Genomic DNA, 12,405 nt, shown 5'->3' on the forward strand with positions numbered 1-12,405 from the left:
CCAGCAAAGCTAATTTTAAAAAGAGCCTGTATAGCAAATAATTACTTTCAATGCATTTTATACAAATAATCAGACCAAGTATAATTAAACTAAAACTTACTGTGCAAATAAATTACTCCTGCTATGATGTTGTCTTTAGTAAAATTGGGGGATTGGAAAGAGAAAAATTATGTTCCAAAAGAAACTGTAGTATACTTGTTATCAGATTCTAGCCTTGTCTATTCTTTTTCAGTTTTTAGTATTTGCTACAATTTAGATTGAGTTCTGAATTTTTCTCCTGGCTATATATCTCCAAACTAATATTTTCAATTTTTTTCTCCCATGTTTCTGACTTGAAATTGCTAGAAATTAGAACTGCTTTTCTTAAAGCTTCTCAAACTGAAGCTAGGCAATTTAAACCTCAGGAGAAAATAACAGCAACTGTTATTTTAACAACCTTTGTATCTGCCTGCTCATGTTTGGACTTCTCAGAAAGTTCACTTGAACATCTGGTTTGAACTACAATCCAGAAGAATCTGGATTGCAGTGGCAATCTGAAGTGCCTCAGAGGCTCTAGAAAACTAGTATAGAGACTGATTGCTCTTGACATTCACCTTTGTTTTTCTTATGTTTCTATAGAAATGCCTCTTATTAGAGATCTGATTGTCTACCTAATATAGAAGCCTAACCCATCTGCAATGTCGCCTCCTGGAATGTGACACAACTGTTTAACTGAATTGATCTATTCTCAGGACTAATATAGTGATGAAAGAAGATATGAAACAATATATTTAAATTTGCTCTTTTCTATTTATCCCAATTTTTCTTTCACTCCATTGTCTGTCTCCATTTAACAACCTCTAAACCTAAATCTCTCCAAAGCTATCAGCTTGCCTTTTAATGCGTGAAACCTGTTTTAAGTTTCAAAGTGGGGACTAAAGGAAATTAAAATATTTTACTCCCAAATATATTTCTTTGATGTGTTTTAAAATGGTTGCAGCTTGGCCAGCTAACAGAAGTGGCCTTGCAAAGCTCTTTTGTGGGAAAAATTTGCATCTGTAGAGAATCTCCATTAATGCAACCACGCTCCCTCCCCTTTCCATCCCACTACCCCATCCAGGACAGAGTAAGAGTCTGAGGCCTTTAAAAATCTGAAATGAAACATTTACCATCTACTCTGAGGGAGGCTTCATTTACATAACAAGGCCACCTTTGCTGGTCTTGTTATGACCAGCTTCTTATTATTTCCTTCTCTTTATTCTGAGTATGTAATTTTTCTTAATGGCTTCTACCTAATCTTTCCTCACCAGAATCAAAAGGTTATGTCTACGGTGAAAAAAACAAACCCACTAAATTGAAGAAGAGCTGAACTAGTTGTCTTAAAGCTGATTAAAATAGAATGGCTAGTCTAATAGGTTTTAAAAAGCAATTGACTTTCATGATAAAAACTCTGAGTATACTAGGAATAGTGAAATTTCTCAACTTGATAAAAAAAAAATGTACCAAAAAATCTACAGGTAATATACTTAATGGTCAGAAACTAGGTGCTTTTCTGCTAAGACAAAGAACAAGGCAAGGTAGGCTGAACTCACCACTCCTATTCAGCATCATATTGCAAGTAGTAGCTTAATACAATAAGGTAAGAAAAGGAAATAAATTCTATACAAATAGGGAAGGATGTAATAAAATTTTCTTTGTTCACAGGTGAATTGTCCACATGTGTCCATAGACACAGTGACTGTCTATATAGAAAATCCCAAAGAACAACAACAAAAAAAGCCTCCTGGAACTAATAAGCCATTAGAGTAAGGTTATAGACTGTAACATTAAGACACAAAAGTCAATTGCTTTCCTATTGAACAGGAACAAATCATTGGAATTTGAAATTGAAAGCACAATGCTACTCATATTAGCACAAAAAATGAAATACTTAGGTATAAATCTAACAATGTGTGGATAAGATATGTAAGGAAAATGATAAGACTAATGAAAGAAATCAAAGAAGAACTAAATAAATGAAAAGATATTTCATATTCACTTTAGGCAGAAATAAGCAGAATAAAGACTGTATTGTCAAGATGTCAGTTATTCCCCACTTATCTATAGATTCAATGGAATTATCTACAGATTCCAATCAAAATACTAGCAAGTTATTTTCTGGATAATGACTAATTTTAAAGTTTATATGGAGAGGCTAAAGAGCCAGATAGCAATGACATTGAAAGAGAAAACCAAAGTTGAAGTGACTCCACTCAACTTTGGGACTTAGTATAAACCTATAGTAATCAAGACAGTGTGGTACAGGTAAAAGAATGGACAGATAGATCAATGGAACAGAATAGACAGTTCTGAAATGGATCCACGTAAATGTACTTAACTGACTTTTGACAAAAGGGCAAATGCGACACAACAGAACAAAGGTGGTCTTTTCAACAAGTGGTGCTGGAATAGCTGGATATTCAGCTGGATATGCAAAAAGTGAATCTAGACACTGACCTTTCACCTCCCACAAAAAATAAGTGAAATTAACTCAAAGTGAACCACAGACTTAAATGTAAAATGCAAAACTATAAACGTCTTAGAAGATAACAGAAAATAATCTAGATGACCTTGGATTTAGTGATGACTTTTTAGATACAACACTAAAGGCAAAATTCATGAAACGACAGATTGATTAGTGGAAAAATTTCTGCTCTGTGAAAGACACTGTTAAGAAATGAAAATGAAAGTCACAGGCTAGGAGAGAATATTGGCAAAAAACATATCTGATAATGAATTATTATCTAAAATATTTTTAAAAAGCAAGAAAACAAACTCAATTTAAAAATGGGCCAAATACCATAATAGATGTCTCACCAAAGAAGATATATAGATGAAAAATAGGCATATGAAAAGATGCTCCACATCATACGTGGTCAGGGAAATGCATACTAAAATAACAATGAGATACTGCAATGCATCTATCAGAACAATCAAAATCCAGCACACTGATCACACCAAATGTTGATGCGGATGTGGAGCAACAGAAACTTTCATTTGTTGCTCGTGGGAGTGAAAAATAATACAGCCATTTTCAAAAACAGTTTGGCAATTTGTTATAAAACTAAACATACTCTTGTAATATGATTCAGCAATTGCACCCCTTGGTATTTATCTAAAGGAGATGAAAACTCATTTCTACATGAAAACCTACACATGGATGTTTATAGCAGCTTCATTTATAATTGCTGAAATTTGAAGCAACCAAGATATCCTCAAATAGGTGAATAGATACACTGCAGTCCATCTAGACGATAGAATATTATTCAGCACCAATAAGAAATGAGCTATCAAGTCAGGAAAAGATATGGATGAAATTTACATGCATATTACCAAGTAAAAGCAGCCAACGTGAAAAGGCTACATATTGTGTGATTCCAACTATATGACATTATGGAAAAGTCAAACTATGGAGACAATAAAAAAGTCAGTGGTTGCCAGGAGTTAGAAGAAAGAGAGGGAGTGGATGATGAATAGGTGGAGAACAGGGGATATCTAGGGCAATGAAACTATTCTGTATAACACTATGATACTGGATACATGATATTACACATTTGATAAAACACATAGAACATATAGTGAGCCCTAATGTAAATTATGGGACTTTAGTTAATAATAATATAATATTGTAATAATATAAAATTGTAACAAGTACATCACACTAATGTAAGATATAGGAGAAACTGGTGAGGGGTGTGAGAAGGAGACTAAGGGAGTATATGGGAAAGTATTCTCTGTACTTTTTGCTCAATTTTTCTGTAAACCAAAGATTGCTCTAAAAAACAAATCCTTTTTATTTTCTGAAATTGTCTTACTAAAAAGTTTCAGTTCTCATATGCCCTCCTTATGCTATTCCTCTCACCAGAAATGAATGAATTCGAATGAATGAAGTTGCTCGCCTCCTCACTCAAAGTTAGCTTTAAATTCTCTCATCGTCGCAAAGGTTTTCTTGATAAAAGAAAGGTACAGTATAGGCTGTTGATGGATCTAAATTAACAATGCTCTGTTATTATTTATAATAATAATAATAATACATCTATCTTAAACTAGCTAAAAATTAGCTGCAGGTATATATAGCTTGTCTTACCTTATTTATTTATTTTTAAACTACTACTTGGTTTGTTTGTTTGAGACAGAGTCTTGCTTCTGTTGCCCAGACTGGAGTGCAGTGGCGCGATCTCCGCCCACTGCAACCTCTGCCTCCTGAGTTCATGCCATTCTCCTGCCTCAGCCTCCCGAGCAGCTGGGACTAGAGGCACCCGCCACCATGCCCGGCTAATTTTTTGTATTTTTAGTAGAGACAGGGTTTCACCGTGTTAGCCTGACACCGTGTTAGCCTGTTCACCAAGACAGGGGATGGTCTCGATCCCCTGACCTCGTGATCCACCCACCTTGGCCTCCCAAAGTGCTAGGATTACAGGCGTGAGCCACCATACCCGGCCTTAAACTACTTCTTAAAGGTATCAAGTATGTCTTCTACAAGGTCTGAGTACATTTCCTGCAGAATGATCTATGTCTACGAAGACTTAACCCTTCTAGACAATCACTCTGAAAAGCAGCTGGAGAGCCCTTTGTACAAAGTCAGAGGACCTGGGTTGGTGGCTCAGTAACCTTTACTCTGTGATAAGAACAGATATCTCGTCATCATTAGAAAGTGTTTAGACAAGATTATAAGGACAAGAAAATGAAATAGTAAACGTAAATATTGGTAAAGGGGGTATGCACATATCTCTCTTGCTGATGATAAAATTATATTTCTAGAAAAAAAGAGACTCATACAAATTCTAGAATGAATACACAAGATGACATGATTTTCTCTACATTGGCAATAACCATCTAGAGCTAGAAATAAAAAATAAGAAATAGAAAATAGATTCAAAATAAGAAAAATAATTTAAAAAACAGGAACGAATTTAACAAAGAAGATACAGGTCTTACATGAATTAAATTAAACTAGGGTCACACTGAAAACTTTAAAATCTGAGAAGACACATTAAAAACATAAATTCTAAATGTGAGAGACTTGTTATTATAAAAATATTAATTGTCTCAAAATGAGTATGTGTGTTTAATGCAATTAAAGTTAGAGTCCTAACTTTTGGAGGGTTTGAGGTTGAAGGAAAGAGTCAATGAAGTGATCTTAAAGTTCATATGTGACAGAAAATGTCTGACAACAGCTATGATAGTCACAAAGGCTAATTTCTTACTGCTTGAAATCTGTCAGGGAATTTTCTAACTGCTCTGTTTAGTTTCATTTAATGAACTCTCAAAACTGTTTGTGATAAATGCTGTCATCCTGAGTATACAGCTAGGTAAACTGAGATAAAGAACTGTTAAGTAACTTTAAGCCGGTATTCACTTTGACTCCAGAGTGTTGACTTACTTTTAACCAATTAACCATCAAGTTCATTGTCTCTAAGCTGAAGGGAGGAGAACTTGTCTTATAATATATTGAAATATACCATAAGGTCATTGTATCCAATAGTAATGACATATAACTAGATTAGCAGAGCATAATAGAGAGTTGTGGAATAAAATATTAAATAAGAAAATTAATGTATGAAAAGATGGTTTTTCAGTTCAGTAAAAAAGTGCTTATTTTTTAAAATCTTGCTTGTATAATTGTCAATCCAGAAGTAAAAGTTGGATCTTTATATAAAGAATTCCATGTAGAAGCCCGGGCGCTGTGGCTCATGCCTGTAATCCCAGCACTTTGGGAGGTTGAGGGGGGCAGATCACGAGGTTGGGAGTTAGAGACCAGTCTAACCAACATGGTGAAACCCTGTCTCTACTAAAAATACAAAAATTAGCCAGGCATGGTGGCATGCGCCTGTAATCCCAGCTACTGAGGAGGCTGATGCAGGAAACTTGCTTGAACCCGGGAGGTGGAGGTTGCAGTGAGCTGAGATCATGCCACTGCACTCCAGCCTGGGTGACAGAGCAAGACTCTGTCTCAAAAATAATGAAATTTCATTATTCATGTCTCTGCTTTCCAAATTTTACGTAACAGATATCCCTTCATTTTAATGGTAGGAAATGGTCCATAGTGTGAATGTGCTACAGTTAAAAAAAAAAAAAAGAATTCTAAGTAGATTTTTAAAGATTTTAACTTTTAAAAACTCTTAGAGGTTCCAAGATGGCTGAATAGGAACAGCTCCAGTCTGCAGCTCCCAGTGTGATTGATGCAGAAGACAGAGATTTCTGCATTTCCAATGGAGGTACCTGGTTCATCTCATTGGGACTGGTTGGACAGTGGGTTCAGCCCACGGAGGGTGAGCCAAAGCAGGGCAGGGCATTGCCTCACCCAGGAAGTGCGAAGGGTCGGGGGATTTCACTTTCCTAGCCAAGGGAAGCTGTGACAGACTGTACCTGGAAAATTGGGACACTCCCACCCAAATACTGCACTTTTCCAATGGTTTTAGCAACTGGCACACTGGGAGATTATATCCCACACGTGGCTCGGTGGGTCCCATGCCCATGGAGCCTTGCTCACTGCTAGTGCAGCAGTCTGAGATCCACCCGCAAGGCAGCAGCATGGCAGGGGAAGGAGCATCTGCCATTGCTGAGGCTTGAGAGGTAAACAAAGCAGCTGGGGAAGTTTGAACTGGGCGGATCCCACAACAGATCTGCAAGGCCTGCTGCCTCTGTAGACCCCATCTCTGGGGGCAGGGCGTAGATGAACAAAAGGCAGCAGAAACTTCTGCAGACTTGAACAACCCTGTCTGACAGCTCTGAAGAGAGCAGTGGTTCTCCCAGCACAGTGTTTGAGCTCTGAGAATGGACAGACTGCCTCCTCAAGTGGATCCCTGACCCCTGTGTAGCCTAACCGGGAGACACCTCCCAGTAGGGGCTGACTGACACCTCATACAGGTGGGTGCCCCTCTGGGATGAAGCTTCCAGAGGAAGGATCAGGCAGCAATATTTGTTGTTCTGCAATATTTGCTGTTCTGCAATATTTGCTGTTCTGCAGCCTCCACTGGTGATACCCAGGCAAACAGGGTCTGGAGTGGACCTCCAGCAAAATCCAACAGACTTGCAGCTGAGGGACCTGACTGTGAGAAGGAAAACTAACAAACAGAAAGGAATAGCATCAACATCAACAAAAAGGATATCCACATCAAAACCCCATCTATAGGTCACCAGCATCAAAGATCAAAGTAGATAAAACCACAAAGCCGGGGAGAAACAAGAGCAGAAAAGCTGAGAATTCTAAAAATCAGAGTGCCTCTTCTCCTCCAAGGGATCACAGCTCCTTGCCAGCAACAGAACAAAGCTGGACGGAGAAATGACTTTGACGAGCTGACAGAAGTAGGCTTCAGAAGGTCAGTAATAACAAACTTCTCCGAGCTAAAGGAGGATGTTCGAACCCATCGTGAGGAAGCTAAAAACCTTGAAAAAAGATTAGACGAATGGCTAACTTGAATGAAGTATAGAGAAGACCTTAAATGATCCGATGTTGCTGAAAACCATGGCATGGGAACCATGTGAGGCATGCACAAGCTTCAATAGCCAATTCAATCAAGTGGAAGAAAGGGTAACCGTGATTGAAGATCAAATTAATGAAATAAAGCAAGAAGAGAAGTTTAGAGAAAAAAGAGTAAAAAGAAAAGAACAAAGCCTCCAAGAAATATGGGACTATGTGAAAAGACCAAATCTACATTTGATTGGTGTGCCTGAAAGTGACAGGGAGAATGGAACCAAGTTGGAAAACACTCTTCAGGATATTATCCGGGAGAACTTTCCCAACCTAGGGAGGCAGGCCTACATTAAAATTCAGGAAATACAGAGAACGCCACAAAGATACTCCTTGAGAAGACCAAATCCAAGACACATAATTATCAGATTCACCAAAGTTGAAATGAAGGATAAATTGTTAAGGGCAGCCAGAGAGAAAGGTTGGGTTACCCACAAAGGGAAGCCCATCAGACTAACAGCGTATCTCTCAGCAGAAACTCTACAAGCCAGAAGAGAGTGGGGGCCAATACTCAACATTCCTAAAGAAAAGAATTTTCAAACCAGAATTTCATATCCAGCCAAACTAAGCTTCATAAGTGAAGGAGAAATAAAATCCTTTACAGACAAGCAAATGCTGAAAGATTTTGTCACTACCAGACCTGCCTTAACAAGAGCTCCTGAAGGAAGCACTAAAAATGGGAGGGAACAACCGGTACCAGCCAATGCAAAAACATGCCAAATTGTGAAGACCATTGATGCTAGGAAGAAACTGCATCAACTAATGGGCAAAATAACAAGCCAGCATCATAATGACAGGATCAAACTCACACATAACAACATTAACCTTAAATGTAAATGGACTGAATGCCACAGTTAAAAGACACAGACTGGCAAATTGGATAAAGAGTCAAGACCCATCAGTGTGCTATATTCAGGAGACCCATCTCATGTGCAGAGACACATACAGGCTCAAAATAAAGGGATGGAGGAAGATCTACCAAGCAAATGGAAAGCAAAAAAAAAAAAAAAAAAAAAGTAGGGGTTGCAATCCTAGTCTCTGCTAAAACAGACTTCAAATCAACAAAGATCAAAAGAGACAAAGAAGGCCATCACATAATGGTAAAGGGATCAATTCAACAAGAAGAGCTAACTATCCTAAACATATATGCACCCAATATAGGAGCACCCAGATTCATAAAGCAAGTCCTGAGAGACCTACAGAGACTTAGACTCCCACACAATAATAACTTTATTTTTAAAGTTGGAGACTTTAACACCCCACTGTCAATATTAGACAGATCAACGAGACAGGTTAACAAGGATATCCAGGAACTGAACTCAGCTCTGCAACAAGCAGACCTAACAGACATCTACAGAACTCTCCACCCCAAACCAACAGAATATACATTCTTCTCAGCACCACATCGCACTTATTCCAAAATTGACCACATAGTTGGAAGTAAAACACTCCTCAGCAAATGTAAAAGAACAGAAATCACAACAAACTATCTCTCAGACCACAGCGCAATCAAATTAGAACTCAGGATTAAGAAACTCACTCAAAACCGCACAACTACATGGAAACTGAACAACATGCTCCTGAATGGACACTGGGTAAATAATGAAATGAAGGCAGAAATAAAGATGTTCTTTGAAACCAATGAGAACAAAGACACAACATACCAGAATCTCTGGGACACATTTAAAGCAGTGTGTAGAGGGAAATTTATAGCACTAAATGCTCACAAGATAAAGCAGGAAAGATCTAAAATCGATACCCTAACATCACAATTAAAAGAACTAGAGAAGCAAGAGCAAACAAATTCAAAAGCTAGCAGAAGGCAAGAAATAACTAAGATCAGAGCAGAACTGAAAGAGATAGAGACACACACAAAAAAATCCTTCAAAAAGTCAATGAATCCAGGAGCTGGTTTTTTGAAAAGATCAACAAAATTGATAGATTGCTAGCACGACAAATATAAAAGAAAAGAGAGAAGAATCATACAGATGCAATAAAAAATGATAAAGGGGATATCACCACCAATACCACAGAAATACAAACTACCATCAGAGAATACTATAAACACCTCTACACAAATGAACTAGAAAATCTAGAAGAAATGGATAAATTCCTTGACACATACACCCTGCCAAGACTAAACCAGGAAGAAGTTGAATCCCTGAATAGACCAATAACAGGCTCTGAAATCAAGGAAATAATTAATAGCCTACCAACCAAAAAAAGCCCAGGACCAGAGGGATTCATAGCCAAATTCTACCAGAGGTACAAAGAGGAGCTGGTACCATTCCTTCTGAAACTATTCCAATCAATAGAAAGAGAGGGAATCCTCCCTAATTCATTTTATGAGGCCAGCATCATCCTGATACCAAAGCCTGGCAGAGACACAACAAAAAAAGAGAATTTTAGACCAATATTTCTGATGAACATTGATGCGAAAATCCTCAATAAACTACTGGCAAACTGAATCCAGCAGCACATCAAAAAGCTTATCCACCACGATCAAGTTGGCTTCATCCCTGGGATGCAAGGCTGGTTCAACATATGCAAATCGATAAACATAATCCATCACACAAACAGAACCAGTGACAAAAACCACATGATTATCTCAACAGATGCAGAGAAGGCCTTTCACAAAATTCCACAGCCCTTCATGTGAAAAACTCTCAATAAACTAGGTATTGATGGAATGTATCTCAAAATAATAAGAGCTATTTATGAAAAACCTACAGCCAATATCATACTAAACGGGCAAAAACTGGAAGCATTCCCTTTGAAAACCAGCACGAGACAAGAATGCCCTCTCTCACCACTCCTATTCAACACAGTGTTGGAAGTTCTGGCCAGGGCAATCAGGCAAGATAACGAAATTAAGGGGATTCAATTAGGAAAAAAGGAAGTCAAATTGTCCCTGTTTGCAGATAACATGATTGTATATTTAGAAAACCCCATCGTCTCAGCCCAAAACCTCCTTAAGCTGATAAGCAACTTCAGCAAAGTCTCAGGATACAAAATCAATGTGCAAAAATCACAAGCATTCTTATACACCAATAACAGACAAACAGAGAGCCAAATCATGAGTGAACTCCCATTCCCAATTGCTACAAAGAGAATAAAATATCTAGGAATCCAACTTACAAGGGATGTGAAGGACCTCTTCAAGGAAAAACACAAACCACTGCTCGACGAAATAAAAGAGAACACAAACAAATGGAAGAACATTCCATGCTCATGGATAGGAAGAATCAATATCGTGAAAATGGCCATACTGCCCAATATAATTTATAGATTCAATGCCATCCCCATCAAGCTACCAAAGACTTTTTTCACAGAATTGGAAAAACTACTTTGAAGTTTTTATGGAACCAAAAAAGAGCCCGCATTGCCAAGTCAATCCTAAACAAAAAGAACAAAGCTGGAGGCATCATGCTACCTGACTTCAAACTATACTACAAGGCTACAGTAACCAAAACAGCATGGTACTGGTACCAAAACAGAGATATAGACCAATGGAACAGAACAGAGGCCTCAGAAATAACACCACACATCTACAACCATCTGATCTTTGACAAACCTGAGAAAAACAAGAAATGGGGAAAGGATTCCCTATTTAATAAATGGTGCTGGGAAAACTGGCTAGCCATATGTAGAAAACTAAAGCTGGATCCCTTCCTTACACCTTACACAAAAATTAATTCAAGATGGATTAAAGACTTAAATGTTAGACCTAAAACCATAAAAACCCTAGAAGAAAACCTAGGCAATACTATTCAGGACATAGGCATGAGCAAGTACTTCATGACTCAAACACCAAAAGCAATGGCAACAAAAGCCAAAATAGACAAATGGGATCTAATTAAACTACAGGCTTCAGCACAGCAAAAGACACTACCATCAGAGTGAACAGGCAATGGGAGAAAAGTTTTGCAATCTACCCATCTGACAAAGGGCTAATATCCAGAATCTACAAAGAACTTAAACAAATTTACAAGAAAAAAAAACCAACCAACCTATCAAAAAGTGGGCAAAGGATATGAACAGACACTTCTCAAAAGAAGACATTTATGCAGCCAACAGACACATGAAAAAATGCTCATTATCACTAGTTGTCAGAGAAATCCAAATCAAAACCACAATGAGATACCATCTCACACCAGTTAGAATTGCAATCATTAAAAAGTCAGGAAACAACAGATGCTGGAGAGGATGTGGAGAAATAGGAACACTTTTACACTGTTTGTGGGAGTGTAAACTAGTTCAACCATTGTGGAAGACAGTGTGGCGATTCCTCAAGGATCTAGAACTAGAAATACCATTTGACCCAGCGATCCCATTACTGGGTATACATCCAAAGGATTATAAATCATTCTACTATAAAGACACATGCACACGTGTGTTTACTGTGGCACTATTCACAATAGCAAAAACTTGGAACCAACCCAAATGTCCATCAATGATAGACTGGATTAAGAAAATGTGGCACATATATACCATGGAATACTATGCAGCCATAAAAAAGGATGAGTTCATGTCCTTTGCAGGGACATGGATGAAGCTGGAAACCCTCATTCTGAGCAAACCAGCACAAGGACAGAAAACCAAACACCACATGTTCTCATAGGTGGGAACTGAACAATGAGAACACTTGGACACAGGGCGGGGAACATCACACATGGGTGCCAGTCTTGGGGTGGGGGCCGGGGGAGGGATAGCATTAGGAGAAATACCTAATGTAAATGACGAGTTAATGGGTGCAGCAAACAAACATGGCACATGTTTACCTATGTAACAAACCTGCACGTTGTGCACATGTACCCTAGAACTTAAAGTATAATTTAAAAAATAAATCTTAGAATAGAATTTAGGAAAACAAAATATCTAAGGATCGAGGAGATCTTTTAAGCCAGGATAGA

At 38.0% G+C, this 12,405-nt stretch overlaps 1 protein-coding gene across 5 annotated transcripts in view, besides 1 other annotated feature; it reads right to left on the bottom strand.

Annotated features, from left to right (window-relative positions):
* STAT4 (signal transducer and activator of transcription 4) overlaps positions 1-12,405 on the bottom strand; it is a 122,021-nt gene that overhangs the window by 56,855 nt on the left and 52,761 nt on the right. The gene's annotated exons all lie outside the window — the stretch shown is intronic.
* Positions 11,919-12,201: a silencer, noted in NCBI's record as "fragment chr2:191963075-191963357 (GRCh37/hg19 assembly coordinates)". NCBI's record gives its function as "represses an EF-1alpha promoter that drives an FKBP-Casp9 reporter gene in an ReSE screen in HepG2 liver carcinoma cells {active_cell/tissue: HepG2}" and the evidence as "EXISTENCE:reporter gene assay evidence [ECO:0000049][PMID:32094911]".

The sequence above is a fragment of the Homo sapiens genome, chromosome 2, assembly GCF_000001405.40.
Source record: "Homo sapiens chromosome 2, GRCh38.p14 Primary Assembly".
Classification (NCBI taxonomy): domain Eukaryota; kingdom Metazoa; phylum Chordata; class Mammalia; order Primates; family Hominidae; genus Homo; species Homo sapiens.